We start from the raw sequence: 18,860 nt of genomic DNA on the forward strand, positions 1-18,860 counted from the left end.
TTATTTGTGCTTTTCTAACTTTACTGTCTCAGAATAAAGGGTGATTATTAGATATGAATAAATGTATATATCAAGGCCGTTAGCAAGGGACAGCCCATCCCAGAGAGTGGCTCCAATTATTATGGTACATGACAGTTTCCTGGACAGTACTACAAAAAAATACTGTTTTACTTTGCAACTCCACCATCCTTTATTTCCTCCAAACCAAGGAAGATGGTATTTACTTCCAAGAGATTTCCTTTTTCCTTTTCTAATGTATGTTATCACTAGCATTCTTTCCTTTTATCTTTCTGTAAACCATGTGCTCGATCACATTTGCCATTTTGTTTGGCTGACATTCCCATCAATCAAGTGACTTCTGGTGTACTTACATAGGGGCTATGAAAATTTACCATAAAAATTTCATTACAATTCCTTGTGATCCCCAGAACAGGACTTTCATGTTACAGAAATTTGAACATAACAAACTTCAAACCTAATGTCGACCAAATACATATTCTGAGTGGTAACTTTCCATTAGGCTTTTACTTTTTAATTTAGTATTTACAGCCCACAGAACACACGTCAGCAAAATATATAGGAAATACTTGTCGGCGACCTAGTGTGACAGGCATTCCTCAGGAAGCAGCAGGGATTTGCTTCAGTGAACCCACGAACAGATAGGCTTGCTATATTTCAAAAGTAAATCTTACACTTCTATCACATCTTCAAAGCCCAGTGGACATGCCATTAACAAAAAGTCCTGAGATGGTAAAAGCCAGCATCTCGTTCCATTTCATTAATGAAGAAAGTGTTAATACTTACATATGCAATGGAGGAATCGGAGATGGATCGTAATGGTAACGGCCCTCATGATGTCTGGCATCAATTGGTACAGGAGGATGGAAGGCAGGGAAAAGATGAGGAGGGTCTGAAAAGAAGAGAGAGCCCAATCTATATCAAATGAACACTTTCAAACAGCATTCCGATTCACAAAGCAACATTGCTATACTATTGTATCTTCACTACCTACACTTAATCTAAGAATTTGTAAAAGAACTCTTTAAGGTTAGTTATGAAGCTCTGTGAGGTACTGCAGCAGTGTGACTAAGTAAGTAGTGCCTGCACCTACCTGAGAAGGCAGAGCCTGGGACTGACTGCAACTCAAACCCAGACACGAAAGCAAGAAAGAGAGGAGCAACACAGGCTCCCTATCTTGAAAGACAGGCTGACCAGAGGAGAAGGGCTGAAGGGAGCCACAAAGCCAAGGGGAAGAGATTAAAACACACTTATTTGAAAAATAAAACTACATTGTCAAGTTAAGTTTTAGACAAAGACACTGTAATACAAATACCAGTTTCATTTCTCCCATGCTCACCATACTTTTAAGAGTGAAAGGCTTGCTAGAATCTGTGGCTGATATACACATGCATGCATGTGCTTCTTTTTTTTTTTTTTAACTTAAATACATATTCCCCTCCTTCTTGGCCGGGCTAGGCCTCCATAGTCCCCACACAAAGGCAGCAAATCTATGCCCTGTCCAGGGAAACACTGTGCAGCCCTCCAGGAAGAGATAAGCTGACCCACTCAGACTCACAGACATCTAGAGCCAAACTCAGGGAATTCCTCCCAAGGTAGTGTTAACATTCACCTTGGACCCAGGCCCTCTCCTGCTTCCACCTTTCCCCAGTCCAACGCTCCGGGTTCCTGAGCTGCTGGGTGTGTGCTCTTCCTTAAAAATAGCTCTCCCACCCCCACTTACTCCTAGTAACTCACACCCATTGTCACTGAAAATAAACCTTTATTAAAAAAAAAAAAGTGATTCACTGTAAAAACTGAAGAGAGTTTTAACAGATTTTATACTTAGAAGCATGACTGATGAGTCAAGGTTTTCCCAAGTTTCAAGAAGCAAAATGAAGGGGTCCAAAACTTGGAGGTTTGACTCCATGTCTATGAGACTAAATACGACAGCAAAATGTGCCAGGACATGTTCTTCAAATGTGACGGGTCCACACTGGTCATGCTGGGAGCCTGCCTAGAGCCAACACTGCTGAGGATTGGTGTGTACACCCACAAGCCTCAGAATGGCTTCCAGTTATTTCACCCTAGTGCTGAGGGTAGCAGTCTCTAAAGGCAATTCCAATGGGGCCTTCTCTCAGCGGACAGGTTCTGATCGACCACCTAAGAATGCACAGAGCGTCCCCCCGCTGAAGTCGGCTGCATCCCCCGAGGTCGGCAACACCGCCATCCCAACTGGGTGGAAATGGATGATTATTAGATGTGTGTAATGTTGAATTCAGGTGGTTTTGATTTTCTTCCCTACCCATTTCTCTATTTTCCAAATTTTCTTCAACAAGCAACTAGTAGAATATAAGCACAACAAACATGTTTTTAAAGTTATAGTACATTGCTTCCCTTGTTTTGATTTTGTCCCTGCTGCCTTCAAGAATATAAGACTCTGTTTATGAAGAAAAAAATCCAGTAAGAGTAAAAAAAACGATGAGCATAGCATTCATAGAAGCTCTGTGGTCTACCAGGGAAGGACCCGAGGCTGTAATTCTACAGTTTACCACCAGATCTAGAATCTAGAAAACTTCCCAGAGGACTATTTTACTGAAATGTCAATGACTCACCGTACTTTGTGACTGTCATAAGATTGAGTAGGGAGGGAGTGGGGGGCATGGAAAGAGGAAGGAATCAGTTTGATCTTGTATCACTGTCACTGTAGTATCGTGATATACAACAATGCTGAAAATTCAACAGGTGAGGGATATACTAATGACCTGATCATTTATCACAGTTTTTTTTTTTTTTTTTTTTTGAGACGGAGTCTCACTCAGTCACCCAGACTGGAGTGCAGTGGCTCGATCTCGGCTCACTGTGAGCTCCACCTCCCGGGTTCACGCCATTCTCCTGCCTCAGCCTCCCAAGTAGCTGGGACTACAGGCGCCCGCCACCACGCCTGGCTAATTTTTTGTATTTTTAGTAGACACAGGCTTTCACCGTGTTAGCCAGGATGGTCTTGATCTCCTGACCTCGTGATCTGCCCGCCTCGGCCTCCCAAAGTGCTGGGATTACAGGCGTCAGCCACCGCGCCCGGCCTCATTTATCACACTTTACACATTTTGTAAAGTCCATATAAAAATTGATTATATTTTAAGTTTACCACTTAGTACTTAATATGAAAGGGTGTAGGTATTATTATTTGTAATGTAAATATTGAAAGTTGATTTGGTAAGTTTGAAAGTTTAAGTTGAATGTTTATTCAGCAATGTTGGCACCTTCATTGCTGCACATAGTTCAGCCATCTTGACAGTTAAAAGCCACCCTCTGTAGAGCCAAACATTCTCTCTCATTTAACCATTTTCAAAGGAAATTATGCACCCTTCTTAAAACAACAAAAAATTAAGTGGGGTCATCTTTTGCACTCGTTTGAAAGCCTGACATATACTAGTTTATGTTTACTGATTTTAAACTTTAAAACAAACCCAAATCAATCAGATTCAAATCCGGGTGAGGGTGGATGGCCATGAAATATGGGGGTGGCTCTTCTTTCTCTTCCACACCTTTCAGCTATCACTGCCAATGCAAACACGCATGCCCCCTGCAGACTTCTTACTTAACACACATCATCTGCTCTTGGCAATCACAGAAATAAACTTACTAGAACAGGGTGTGAATTCAGCATTCATAAAGTCGTACCCATCTCCTCAGGGCATCGCACATGCACCAGTTTATGCGGCTGTTTTGAGGGATACTGACAACTATGTCAGAGTTGGAAGGTATTTTCACTTCTTTATTTCATGGCTTTTGGCTGTGTTCTGCATGATGAAATTCTCTCCACCAGGTAAGTGGGTGTCAACTGTATCTGGTTTTCTCTATGTGGGTGCAACTATGAATTATGACAAAGTACAAAACCACGTTTTTCACTCAAAATGTGTGAATTTATTCCACATTTAATATATGCCTCATATATCCCCGAAGTAACAGTCACAATCTTTTATATGAGTGTTTATAATGAAGTTGCAGTGATTACGTGTATGGAGTGAAGACCAACCAGTTAATCCCATAAAATCAAAAGCGTGTACCCAACAAGTATAAAATTATCTTCCTCAAGGAAAACCTACAATGCTATCAAGGACATTTAAAAGACACTGCCATCTTCTCATTTTCAAGAAATTATTCTTTCAGGGTTTAAATTTTCTCTCTCTCACCCTCTCTCCCTCTTTCAGAATAAAGGATAAAATGACCTAGCACTGCAACAATAAATTTGAGAGGAAAATATAAAACACAATTACTGGGACACTAAGTAGTCATTTCTCACTGTTGAGTCCACAGTATTCTATGAATTTAAAAGTTAATTCTGACTGAAAATATGTGATGCATCTCCTAACACTGCACCAAATTCTTAATGCTTATTTATGTCCCAAGAAAATTTATGAATTCTGCATTCGAGAATTATGTTTAAATAAAGAACAGAAAATTAATGGATATGATCTGATTTGACCAAAGACATCTGATTTTGGTTTAAGTGTCTCACTGTTTCTACGTTTCCCCTCTTGATTAAATTTAAAATAACTTCTCCTGGATTGCAGAAGTCTGTGTGGACAATTATACCTTGTGTTGGTTATTAGTAGAAATCACACCTCTTAAGCCACTTTCTGGGAAAATACAATGGAACTCCCCTCTTCCAATTCAAGACGTGCTTGACTATAGCTTAACAGGATAAATGAAGAATGAAAAGCAGTATGGGCATGTCCTGTAACATACGTGGCATCTCATGGCATTAATCCTAACACATTTCTTGAAAAATGCTCCTGAATCCTCAAACGTTGAGTACTTGCCTTGCTGGTGTCTTGGTTTGTCGTTTCTATGTGGCTCAGCGGCATATTCCATCATCGGCCCAAAAAGCTGTCCAAGAAAACCCACATGACGAGAACAGGCCCTTGTCGCCAGAGCCGCCATAATTACCCAGCTCGCAGTTTATTATTTACACATGAGCAGTGCAGCTGTGACGCATCATAACTCAAGCGTATATGTAATAAGTTACTGCACCGCAGCCATCTCCTGCCCTGCCCCTTGACAAAACACCACATGATGACTTCTCCAAAGTCAGGCGAAAACTGCTGAAGCAGAAGGAAGTGCCACGAAACCTGGCTACCTCCTATTTATCATACAATTTCCTGACTGATGGCTCCACAAACCAGCTGCTAAGTGCTGTGTACTCTACTGTCAGCAAACTAACGGGCTAAATGGAAGACAGGGAGAATAATGTGCAGAACTGGTGGAATCAATTTTACTGAGGGAATTAAAATTCTACCAGGTGGGGGCGGGTCTGTGGAGCAGTGGTAAGCAGTCAACTGTACATGCTTATGGTTGCAAAGATGATTTATTACAGACCTGCGAGAGGTTTGACTATTGTACCCGAGTCCTCTTACACTAAACAGAGATTTGAAGAGTGTGCACTCTCCCAGGCTTGAGTGGAATGGTCTTTAAACCCTATAAATATGTAACTGGCTTGACACATGTTTAAACTGAAATGCATAGCAAAAATATTTGTGCTGGGTAGAGTTGTCAGTATTCCATTTCACACTGGCTGTCATCACGTTGAGCATTAAGGGTCTCATTAGGAACGAGAGGCATTGATTTTTAGGTCTCTTCACAACAGCCTGGGTTGATCATAAAACCTGTAGCCAGAGAATAACCGAGAAAGACACTTGGAGATTTATCTCTAGTTGCATCCTTCTCCCAAGAAATAGTTATAGTATCCTCAGGCTATAAGATCTCTTGGATGCCATCCTGGGAAACTGTCTTTTAAGGTTTGAAATTTACATACAAAAATTGCAGATTAAAAAAGAGAGATCAAAGTCTCTCAGTTAGTGCCCTGAAGGAGTAATTCACCAAATGATACTTGAATGGTCTGAAAGTGCCCGGGAAACAGTGCAAGAGTAAACTGCTAAGTGCAGAAGTCCTCATGGGTGATTTAAATACTGAAGTCGTCTGTACCCTGGCCTTGGAATTTACTCAATCAGCTTGGAATCATCTCAATCAGCTAGGGATGATTTTCTGTCATTAGAGTTAGTCCAGCCTGTAGGAATGGCCAGTCCCCTCAAACTCATTCAATCATCTGCCATCAGCAGAAATATCATTAAACAGCATCCGCTATGCTACAACCAAAATCACCATCCAGCTTCTATAAAATGAAAGGTCTCAAGCAGGAGAGGGAGAGAAGAGGAGAGACAGAATGAGAGATCCGACTGCCAAGGAACTCACTCTAGTGAGATAGTAGAGAGGCAGCCCAGGCCTCATCACTGTCTCTTCCCACCATGGAGCTTCTCCAGTCATCATCCTCGTGCCTGCAAGTCGTTTTTCCAGGGCTCAGTGCACTGTGGGAGGCCATTTGGACTGACTCCAAGATGCAGACTGACTTACTAACTCAGACAACCTTGCAATTCCTGCCTATGGATGACACGGCACCAGAAATGAGCTGATCCGCCCTCTGAGGACACCCCAGGTAACCTGACAAGGAGAGTCTAGAGCAACGTGTTTTGAGCAAGACAGTCTGTGGCCCACCATGATCTACCGTGAGCGGAATCTAAGAAGTGCTACCCCCACAGGGCCCCGCTGAGGACTTGCTGGGCAGAATCCCCACAGCATCACCTCATGGAGCACTAGGAATCTTTTTTCTGGTCTCACAAGCATATTATGTGGGGTTAGAAACTCCTCCGGAATCATCAGAATGAGACATCGTATTTATATGATCTTCTATAGGGTAATGCAAGTTTAAAGAAGCTGTGGTTCTAGCATACTCTAGAAATCCTGTAAAAATGCCCTGAAACTTTTTTTTTAAATTATCTATTATTTTGTCACTTTACACAATGGCAGGAGCCTTAACTTGAAGAGTATATGCTATAGGAGGAAACTGCAAACTATCACATGTGGGCCGGTTTTTGTAAATAAAGTTATGTTTTAATTTTTTAATTTTTTATAGGTACATAGTAGATGTACATATTTATGGGTCACATGAGATATTTTGACACAGGCATGCAACACATAACAAGCATATCAGGGCAAATGGGGTATCCATCACCTCAAGCATTTATTATGCGTGCTATAAACAATCCAATTATACTCTCTTCATTATTTTAAAATGTACAATTACATTGCTTTTGACTATAGTCACCATGCTGTGCTAACAAACATTGGGTCTCATTCAATCTTTCTATTTTTTTGTACCCATTAACCATTCCCACTCCCTGCTCAACCCCCACTATCCTTCCTAGCCTCTGGTAACCATCCATCTATTCTCTATCCCTCTGAGTTCAATCATTTTAATGTTTAGGTCCCACAAATAAGTGAGATCAAGTTCTTTCTGCACCTGGCTTATTTCACTTAACATCATGACCTACAGTTCCATCCATGTTGTTGCAAATGACAGGATTTCATTCTTCTTTACATCTGAATAGTACTCCACTGTGTATATGTACCACATTTTCTTTACCCATTCATCTGTTGATGGACACTTAGGTTGCTTTGTAAATAAAGTTTTATTGGAATACTGCCATACTTATTTGTTTACATATTGCCTATGGCTGCTTTCCCACGCCAACAACAGAGCTGACCAGCTGAGACAGGAAACCCATGGCCTAACACATTTGTTATCTTATCCTTTATGGAAAAAGGTTGACAAACCCTATTCCAGTGTACCATGATAAAGTAATTTGCAGAAATTATTACATTTCAGAAAAAAAAATATCAATTTTTTATTTATTGTGTTGTCTAAGCGATAACACTAAGTACATCAAGTATTTTCAATGCACTTTCTTCATATGCTAACTTGTGTGACTGACTTAATATAGTAAAAGTGTTCATATTAATCATTAATCAATAGACATCTCATCTAATTTTAGCAAAACCCGTAACAAGTAGACAAATTTCAAGATAATGGATGAAATTAACCATAAATCTAGCAATAATAGCAGTAGCTAAGCATTTGAAAATTGAAGTTACCTTATAAATTAAGTAAAACAAATACAAATTTACATAAAATGCTAATTAACAATAAAAAGTAAGCTATTTCTAAAACCCAATAAGCTTTTACTTCTGGCAACTACCTGACAGTCTTGACTCCTGGTCTATAAACTTCCACGGACATTCTCCACTACTCAAATAACAAGCTTTTTATCATTTCTTTTGTGTAAGCATGCAGACTATTAAATTAATTAGTATTTTAGACCTAAATGCTACCCATCACTACACTCTGGCCACACCCACAATTCATCCTTTTTTTTAAACAGTCAGATAGATCCCTTCTGTGCTCCTCAACAAACATGGTCATGTGTTTCCCACAAGAAAATGCCAAATGTTCCTCTGCAAGTGAACTGACAAAAGAAACCTCTGCCTTTACTGCTTCAGGTATGTCCTCAGTCGTGAACCAACAACTGATCTCGCCCCTTTCTGGAAACTTCTAACTTCTTCTGTCCGTAAGTCTGCATGTTTCTCCCTTCAAGATCACATCCAGTGGATGCCCAGTGGTGGAAAGAAAACCACATCTACGTACTGGCTGACCAGCCATATCCTTCCAAACAGAGACTCTGGAATGTGTCTTGCCTGTGATTCCACATATATGCATCCAACATTTTTGTTGTTTTCAGCTTTCCTGCCAGGATAAGAGAGAAGAAATAACCAGAGGGAAAGGCAGCAAAGAGAAATAAGGAAAGGTTTACATCCATTCTAGCTGAACTGCAGAACTCTCTCAGGGAAATCACATGTAAACATATAAGGAATCACTTAAAAGTGACAAATCTGTTTACTTTGAAATATGCTAATGGTGTATTTTCAGTGACAATAAATAAGCTTGGAAATTAAAAATGGAAATTAGTTACCAGTGACAAATTTTTAAATCAATGACTGTATTTTTGTATCACAAAATTCAAAAGTCACAGTTATAGCTCTAAAAATATGCATTTGGATTCTTTTTTTTTTTTTTTTTTTTTTTTTTTTTAGATTGAGTCTCACTCTATTGCCCAGGCTGGACTGCAGTGGCACAATCTCAGCTCACTGCAACCTCCACCTCCCGGGTTCAAGCGATTCTCGTGCCTCAGCCTCCCGAGTAGCTGGGATTACAGGTGCCCACCACCACGCCCGGCTAATTTTTGTATTTTTAGTAGAGACAAGGATTCACCATGTGAGCCAGGCTGGTCTCGAATGGTTATGAAATGAAAGCAGAAGAGGAAATGTTTCCATAAAAACTGTTTGGTTATCTCAGATCTAACTACGGAGACCCTGGAGTCAATAGGATCAGAAGTTTAAACTAAGCCTGGTTTAGTTAGGAAACCAACAACTGATCCACAAAGGGGAGGTTTGGAAGTTGTATTCTATTCAAAATTAACCTGCTGCAAAAAGAGCTTTCAGTGTTGCAAAACTAGCAGAAGCAGGTAGGGAAATGTGAAAGCAAAATAAGATAGTATATTTCATAATAGTATATATCTTCTTAAGGAATCCTCTTGACATAAAATAAGCATTCCCAAAACGTTATTATTATTCTCCTAAGTCTTGTTTCTTCTTAAGTTCTATTATCAAGACAATCCTGAGAACTAAGAAGGGAAAATTTTATTATCCACTCAAAAAAGCTAAATGATCTACCCAGTGTTGCATAAAACTATGGCCTTATGATGCAAGTTTGGTGCTCTTTCTATTCCAATACCAGAGCACACAGGACTTGGCACTTCAAACGTGATCCCTGCCAGGGCAGGGAAACCCAGGTACCTTCATGAAATGTCAATCCTGCTTTGGAGGCGGCAACCCTGAGGAGCTCTCAGGCAGCACAAATGCAAGCCTGCCAGAGATTGTCGGGGCTCAGGCTCAGCATATCAAGAGGTTTACCCTTGTCTTCACAGTTGCACAAGAGAGAATGCTGCCATCAATCATAAAGAATCACTTCCAGAAATATTTGGAAGTCTCTGGAAGACCAGCAGTATTTCAAGAGTGTGCTGGTTGGCAACTTTGTAGCAATTAAGAAATGAATGAGGCACATTCATTTTGCTCAAAACCAGGCAAGAAGCTCTGAAGGATTATTGACTCTGCTTCTTTTATCTGGACCATCCACTCCATCTGCAGTTCCTGTCAATCAACAACTAAAGGTCTTCCAAGGTTTGCCCCATAAATAGTAATTAATAAAAAATAATAAAACAATCTTGATGAGCACAAGTGCAAGTCACTGAATACTTTAATGCAGGTCAAGCAATGTGCAATGCCTTTTAGATTCACCTCATTTATTTCTTCCTGGGGCCTGACCCTGAGAAGCAGGTACTATTCATACGCCCATTCTTATGGATGGGGAAACTGACCTTCTCCAGTGTTACAGGGGGAGACAGTAGTAGAGCTGTGTGTCTTTCTTACTTCAGAACCAGGGCTCTTAGACATTCCACTTCCTGACACAACAATGTCAGAGTTAAGGCTTTTTATCATAGCTTATCTAAACTATACTCCCCACACCAGCATCCCTAAAACCAAGTCTGAACCATATCCCTCCCTTCTCCCAAAATGTATAGTAGCCCAAGATAGCCTCCCCACTCCAGCCCAAGCTCTTCACCATGAGTTTGAGGCCCCAGCCACCAAGCTCTGTCCAGGACACCTCCCCATCCGAGAGTCAGTGCCCCCTCAGGCACCATGCACTTCATGGCTTATGGTGTCCCCTCAGTTGAGGACAAATTCCCTCTTACCCAAGTCTTACCCCCTCTTCAAGACTCAATACAAACACCACCCCCTCCATCAGGCTTCCCAGGGGGCTCCATGGGATCGAGTGCTCCTTCCTCCCTTCTCCATAATTCAGGTTGGCCAGAACCAGTAGGGACGACCCGAGGAATTCTACTTGGACCCGCATCATGTCCTCCCCACTGCCTTGCCCTCTGACGGCCCTGTGCTCATCCTCAGTGCGCTTCCTCAGACAAGCACACATTTACTGAATACAGAGCTTATACCAACACAGCCATGGGGGTGAGCACACCACACTGCCTTTCCTGCTGGGCAGTATGGGGATGAGTCCCTGCCAGGGTGCACACACCCACAGGTCAGAACTGTCTTCTTTCCCTCCCAGGAGGTCTGGGGTGTGAGGGCAGAAGAGGCCCACTTATCCGTGTATACCCAGCAGGAACTCAATAAATGTATGTTCTAGGAAAGGTGAAAAGGGGGAGGAAAGACATGAAAGGAAACTGAGGCCACGCAATGACAGTGGTGGACCAGGCTAGCCATCCCTCCTGGAAACTGCAGGACACTTCCATCTACCTAAGGGGCCTCCAACAACAGGCAAAATGAGGGGAACCCACAGGTATGGGCTGTCTCCTCTTTGGAATCCTCCCTGTGCAGTTTTCTGCATGCTTCCCATGTTCAGAGTGAGCCCAGGGCCAAGGCCCAGCAGATGCATGCACACCCTGGACCAAATCCTAGCACTCTGAAAGGCAGCTTCCAGCCTGACCAGGCTGCCTGCCTTCTGCTGGGCAGTGAGTAACTTCAGTGAGTAAACTCACCACCCTACCCCATGCCACCACCTCTAAGACAGGGCAGACACTGATGGGCGCTCAGCAATCACAATCCTGGTTGGGACCTTTTGACTGAGAATGCCCTTTCCCATCAGAGAAACACTGATGGCTCCAGTGAATTCAGGATACTTGATCAGGCTGCTAACACCCATATGGAAAAAGCTCTTAGACACAAAAGGTTGGAGGTCAAAAGTTTAAAAGCTCATGACAGAAATGACAGGGGCCCCTTTGCCCCCACCACCACCTACTTTTTTTTTTTTTTTCATCAATAACATCAAAGGCTCTGGCATGTACTTAATGCTATTATTGTTACGCTTTGGAATCCATTGAAATTCCAGCATGTTTACTGCACACTGGGAGCATTAAAAGGCTCCACTTTCTTGTGTCCCTTAAACTCTGAACCCTCACTGTCTAAGAAGCATCATTGTTTGCAGAAACACATAAAGCTTTAAAGCAAAGAGTTTGTTTTAAGGGTTTCTTTCACCATGACTGTAAAACAATAAAGCACACGACATGGCTTCCTTGAAAGGATGAGCAAGGAAATGATAGAAAAGGGAGAGAATCCCCCGCTGCTTAGAAAGAAAAAAATCCACTTCACATTTCTTGGCTCATGGGAGTACAAGTAGAAAACATTCCCCATTTTTCTTCTATTTCTCCTTTCTCTGCAACCCTATGTTAGCCACAAGCTGCACATTTTACACACACCTCAAAGACATTGGCTATGTGAGCATCTATCAAATGGTATCATCTGAAGGAGTCCGAAATACCTTTCTTCTTTAGAATGCCTTCTCAAGTCCACCGTCCACTTTGCAGCTACCTCATACTCATTGCTGGATGTGCAGATAAAAAGCCCCACAGCTGCCTGCAGGCTGGTTCAGAACTACTCCAAGCTCCACTCTCTGAAGTTCCCACTAGTGGCTTCCTCTCTTGTTGGCTACCCTTCCCTTCCTCGCAATCTCATCTGGCTTCCTATTTTGATTCTTAGCTTAATTCCAGTTGGAATGCTGAATGAATTTCAGACTATCTCTGACCGTCCACCCCTTAGAGCACCTGCTCCTATGGTAATGCCTTGGATGTCTAACCTATGCTATAGGCAAGAGGCATCCTGCCTGGGCCTGCAAGCCCACCATGCCCATAAAAGGCAGAGGCCACTCATTGCCCACTCTTCCCCTCCATGATTCCTGCAGTCCAGACAAGCTAATGTGCTCAGACACATCCCAGAGGAATTCAGTTTGCCAGCGTTCTGTTTTAGGACTGGGGAGGATGATAGGCTTGGGGGTGTCAACAAACCTATTCAGCTGGGCTCTGATGGGGACTCTCCTCTCTGGGGAGGCAGTGGTCCTGAGGCTCCTTTCACTGAGCCTAGGCCACTGGCTGTCTGCTGCCTGTGCTTCCCTGAGGCCTCAAGCTCTCTTGCGCACTTCCGCTTCTGCAGCCTCAGTGGTGATCTCACTGGCCCTTCATCTGGACTCAGCAGCTGCTTACCTTGTCTAACAAGACTCAGGCTCTAATGTGATCTCCATCTGAGTCCTCTCCTCCCTCTCTACAAAGTAACCCCTGGCTTCTAGACCAGTCTTCATAAACTATACTTGGTAGGTATCTGATGTCAATGATGTCCATGTGCTCCAAGTGCCCCTAAGGACAGAGAACATGGTCTGCTTCTGGAGTCTGCATCTATACCTTGTACGCCTAGGTCCACACCTACAGCCCTAGGGACTATAGCCTCAACACATGGATGCGTAATAGTGGACACACTCACACAAAGATGACCCCAATCTGCACTTCCTCAATGAGTTTCCACTAATCAGAGGGTGTGGCCTACACTCATTTTGAGAGTGCAAGACTGCTTCTCATGCTTCTTTGCTGTTTCCAACTGTTACTAATGACTTGAAGCATGATAATACGGGATTTAAACAAAACATTTGAAACAAAGCATGGATTTAATAACTGACACTAGGCAACAGACCAAATTGATGGCAACCTACTGGTCATCTTGACACCAATATATACTTGTACAGAATTTATCACCCTCAATATGAATCCTTAGAAAAGCCATCCTTTCTACTGAGTTTTACCTTCTCCAAAATCGGGAAAAGGCCAAATACTCAGCACACTGAATGATGCATGCTGCAACCCTTGGCTGGGTACACCCTTCCCATGGGAATTTATCTGCTCTCCATTTTGCCCAAGGCAGCTGAAAAGGCTCCCCCATTTAAAGACGTATTTTCTAGATTTCTATAAAAACAAATTACAATAATCACTACAGCCATAATATAAATTTTCTTTCATCCGTAAAATAAGGCTAGTAAGACTTAACTCTGTTGACTCCACAAAGTTGTACAAGGCCCCAGGTGACATAAGTGAAGGTGGTTCATAAATTCTGAATAACAGTCATGCATCTCTTAACAATGGGATGCATTCTAAGAAATATGTCTTTAGATGATTGTGTCATTGTGTGAACATCATGGAGTGCACTTACACACACCTAGATGGTGGAGCCTACTACACGCCCATGCTGTATGGTATAGCCTATTACTCGTAGGCTATAACGGTACGGTAGCATGTCCCCATACTGAATCCTGTAGGCAACCGTAACACAATGATAAATATTGGTGTATCTAAGCATATCTAAACATAGAAAAGGTACAGCAAAAATACAGTATTAAAATATTTTTAAAATGCTACACCTATATAGAGCACTTACCATTAATGGAGCTTGTAGGACTGGAAATTGCTCTGGGTGAGTCAGTGAGTGAGTGGTGAATGAATGTGAAGACCTAGGACATCCCTGTACAGTACTGTTGACTTTATAAACACTGTACACTTAGGCTGCACTAAATTTATGAAAAGTAAAGTGACTGTACTATGACGTTATGATAGCCACAATGTCACTAGGTGATAGGAATTCTTCAGCTCCATTATAATCTTATGGGACCACTGTCTTACATGTGGTCAGTCCTTGACCTGAATATCCTTAGGCAGCACATGACTGTACCCATGTTTAAGAAGTCACCGTTCCTTCTAAGTCCTTCTTCCTCAACATAAACACCCAAGTTACCATGAGAGTCAACAACTTTATGTGGGTGTCTTCAGCTTTGCAAGTAATCTGAAGGTTCAGGTCATGCTTCTCTCTTGCCCTCAAGCATTCTCTGATCATAAGACCCAGGAAGAGTCCTCCATATCTCTGTCCCTAAGTAAGGTCTGTGGCAAGGACCTCACTCTGTCTCCTGAACTTCACACTAGACAGACACTGTCCTCAGCTTAACCTTCAGGGAAAAGAAAAAAAGTTACAGCTACAAATACGCTCAAAAAAGAACTATCATTTACTGAGCACTCACAGGTACTAAGGACTGCCCTAAACACTCTTCATATATTTTCTTGCTTATACCACATGACAATCTAAGGAAGTAGGTATTCATATGCTATTTTGCAAATGAGAAAATAGGGATAGAGAAGGTAAGAAGTTAAAGTCGCTCAGTTAGGAACTGACAAAGCTTGGCCTCAAGTCCAGATGTGCCTGACTACAGTGCTCTGTAAGCTACAGCAGGGCCAACTACCCAGGCATGGGGCCTGTGCAGCCCCTGGGCCTGTGGTCAGAAGGGCCCGAGCATGGTTTAATGTTACGCGCAGTAGCCGTCTTGAAATTCTTAGTAATTTTTCAACAAGGGCTCCCCATTTTCTTTTTACACTGGGCCTCACAAACTATGGAGCTGGTCCTGAGTACACCTGTATTTCCCACAAAAGTACTCCCACTTCCAACCTTCTCTGCTTCACCCTTGCCAACGACAAAAGCTAAAAGCTGCTAACAGACATTGTCATGGGTACACTGGGTGATTGCACACATCCTGCCTTCACTGCCCAGGTACAGGTCCCCTACCTCACCCAGGCCCTGCCTCAGGCTTACACTTTGGTCCCCTTGCCCCAGTCGCTCAGACACTTCTCCCAGGCACCAGGGACCCAGCCTAGCAGGCAGCAGGCCCCTAACCAGGCCAGATCTGGCAGAACACGGGCCAGACATCAACCCCACGACGATGCTCTCTTGCTGCCACTGGGGCCTGCGCACACTGTGCTAACACAGTCGCCATCCACCGGCCTGCTGTCCTGAGGGCTAATTGGGCTTGTTTAGACCGAACACAGCAGAAGTCCCTCTACACATATATAAATCACAATTACTAACTGCAAGAATCCAGCCGCTCTCTTCTCCCCTCGTGGCTGCTACAGAGGAATTCCCAGGCCAGCCAGGACTAGCACAAAAGCCCCAGACTGGGCTGCAGCAATATCCGCTCGCTCGGCTCAGTTTATTATTTAAACAGTTCCTTAACGATTCTTCCCGGAGGTGAGTGAGGCCAAACTGTTTTCCTTCCCTCCACAAAGCAGATATGCATGGCTTATTTGAATGTCTTCAACGTTTACTTTAGTCCCCAGTTAAATACCTTCTACCGCAGAGTCAAACAAACAGTTCACTTCATTAGAAAGGCAAACAATTTAGCAAGAGAATACCACCAGCACTTGAGGGGAACCAAGCTGGGCCTCGAAACCCTCTGCCTGGGAAGCAGGGCCAGTGGCGGCCCAGGCAACAGTGCGTGGAGCTCACTTCAAAAGCCTTTGCACAAATACTTCACACATTCACTGGTAATTAACAGATAACCCCGAAGAGATTATCTGCCCTGCGGCCAAGGACCCTGGAGGATTATCCACACCACCCGTGCAGGAGAAGGCAGAGTCCAAGAGCACACCTTTTTCTCTGCAAATGCAAGTGGATAAAGTCATCTGAGAAAACACCAAAGCGAGCAGCTACACCTCCCCTACCCCGGTGAAAATAATAACGAAGCAACACCTCATTAAGATAATTATTAATTTAAGCAACAGCCGGAAGTTGTGCCTGAGAAAAACACACAGGCTGGAGCAGCAAGAGGACACAGGGATGGAAAGTTCAAGACAAGAACCAGGGCAGGAGCGCAAAGCCCGTGGTGTGCTGTCAGGATTCCAGCTCAGAAGTGGAGACAACGCTGTTCCCAACAAAGACTTGGGGCACACTGAAAACACTGTGGGGGCTGACCATGAGCAGGTTAAAGTCTGGGCACTTCTTTGCGAGAGACCCTGAGGCAGGGTCAGCTGCCCATTGAGGTTTGAAGCCATCTGTCGCACAGCAGGCAAGCCCCGACTCTCAGTCCAGTGGGCACCGCACTGCCCCGGCTTTTATCTCAGAACCACAGGAGGAACGCACCAGAGTCAGCTCTTCAGTTGACCAACAGATGACAGGTTATACCTATCCATCCAGGGCACAGGATTTGGGGCTCATCTTTTATTTTATTTCATTTTATTTATTTATTTATTTATTTATTTATGTATTTATGTATTTATAGAGACGGAGTCTTGCTCTGTTGCCCAGGCTGGAGTGCAGTGGTGCGATCTCAGCTCACTGCAACCTCCGTCTCTGGAGTTCAAGCAATTCTCCTGCCTCAGCCTCCTGAGTAACTGGGATTACAGACACCCGCCACCACGCCTGGCTAATTTTTGCATTTTTACCAGAGACGAGGTTTCACCATGTTGACCAGGCTGGTTTCAAACTTCTGACCTCAGGTGATCCACCTGCCTCGGCCTCCCAGAGTGCTGGGATTACAGGCATGAGCCACCGCGCCTGGCCAGGATCTTGTTTTTAAAAACAGAAGGGCGCCCAGCATGGGCAAATCACCTGAGGTCAGGAGTTCGAGACCAGCCTGTCCAACATGGAGAAACCCCGTCTCTACTAAAAATACAAAATTAGCCGGGTGTGGTGGCACATGCCTGTAATCCCAGCTAGTCGGGAGGCTGAGGCAGGAGAATCACTTGAACCCGGGAGGCGGCGGTTGCAGTGAGCTGAGATCGCCCTATTGCACTCCAGCCTGGGCAACAACAGCAAAACAATGTCTCAAAAAAAAAAAAAAAAAAGGTTCCCTTCTCTTTTCTACATAAGAAACACATATACTCACCACCACTGTCCCCCATATATACGGTTACCACAATCGTAGACAGTAACATCAAATAAAAATGGGGTGGGTGGTGCAGCTGTTCCTATTATACTTAAATTTGGGTTTTCACACATGCTGTGGTTGTTCTGGACAGGGTCAGATTAAGCAATTTCAGTGCTTATGGCTCTTAAGAATTTGGTAAACCTCAAATGCCAACTGTAATAAATCATACAAGTCTCTATTATAACTATAAATCACTATAAATCACTCATGAAATTTAATACTGTCATGAAGAGTAATTAAATGCTAATGTAACAAATTTACAAAAGGAAAAACAAACACATTAATGGGGAATCTTAAGAGCTAGAGAACACTCCTGTATGGGAGCTTTCAGAAAAATCTTTGTCCCCAAAGAATAAACACTGTTTCTTTATCCAAAGCCAGAGGTCCTCAGGAAGTGAAAATCAGGAAAGGGCCACACTCCCCAAATAAACTCAGGACTGAGTGCTAAAGTCCAACTCCCTTCTTCAATGCAGAAAAAAGATACCAAAAATTGACTTTCATTCTGCATTATCCTACTAAGGAAACAGAGAGGAAGGGCGCAAAAGTCAAGCAGGAGATGAGGAGAGGCCAGTGCCCAAGAAGGGTCTTGGGGTTTAAAGGAAGTTTCAGGAAGGAGTCACAGTATTTCCCTCAAGGTCACTATCTCCCTTGCACTGCCCGCCCTTCAAATCATTGCTGGGTTGATACTCAGCTGTTCTTAGCTCTTCAACGATGCTGACTCTTAAAGTTTAGACAGGACAATTAGAACCACGAATTCTGTTCTGTGCTGCTTCAGTCCTAACACCTCAGGATTCAGTAAGTAGTTGCTGAATACAGGAACAAGTCAAAACCAATTCACTAGACAGGGTGTGGTGGCTCACACCTGTAATCCCAGCACTTTGGGAGGCTGAGGCAGGTGGATCACTTGAGGTCCGGAGTTCAAGACCAGCCTGGACAACATGGTAAAACCCCGTCTCTACTAAAAATACAAAAAATTAGGGCATGGTGGTGGGCGCCTGTAATCCCAGCACTTTGGGAGGCTGAGGCAGGTGGATCACTTGAGGTCAGGAGTTCGAGACCAGCCTGGCCAACATGTCGAAACCCCATCTCTACTAAAAATACAAAAAAATAGGGCATGGTGGTGGGCACCTGTAATCCCAGCTACCCGAGAGGCTGAGGCAGGAGAATTGCTTGAATCTGGGAGGCAGAGGTTGCAGTGAGCCAAGATTAAGCCACTGCACTCCAGCCTGGGTGACAAAGTGAGACTCTGTGTCAAAAAAAAAAAATTAATTAAAAAAAAAGACAATTCACTCTGCAGATCTAAGCAGCACTGCCAGGTACCAGGCCC

At 43.3% G+C, this 18,860-nt stretch overlaps 1 protein-coding gene across 8 annotated transcripts in view, besides 1 other annotated feature; it reads right to left on the bottom strand.

Annotated features, from left to right (window-relative positions):
- Window positions 1-18,860, bottom strand: part of GLI3 (GLI family zinc finger 3) — a 303,320-nt gene that overhangs the window by 114,999 nt on the left and 169,461 nt on the right. For all 8 annotated transcript variants that reach the window (XM_047420208.1, XM_047420207.1, XM_047420205.1 and 5 more), the window contains one exon: window positions 805-910. In XM_047420208.1, coding sequence (XP_047276164.1) covers window positions 805-910 — 106 coding nt within the window. The remainder of the gene's footprint in view (window positions 1-804; window positions 911-18,860) is intronic.
- Window positions 15,583-16,278: an enhancer, noted in NCBI's record as "OCT4-NANOG-H3K27ac-H3K4me1 hESC enhancer chr7:42131129-42131824 (GRCh37/hg19 assembly coordinates)". NCBI's record gives its function as "activates a minimal SCP1, AML or CMV promoter by ChIP-STARR-seq in naive H9 embryonic stem cells {active_cell/tissue: H9 hESC(naive)}" and the evidence as "EXISTENCE:reporter gene assay evidence [ECO:0000049][PMID:30033119]".

The sequence above is a fragment of the Homo sapiens genome, chromosome 7, assembly GCF_000001405.40.
Source record: "Homo sapiens chromosome 7, GRCh38.p14 Primary Assembly".
In the NCBI taxonomy this organism is placed as follows: domain Eukaryota; kingdom Metazoa; phylum Chordata; class Mammalia; order Primates; family Hominidae; genus Homo; species Homo sapiens.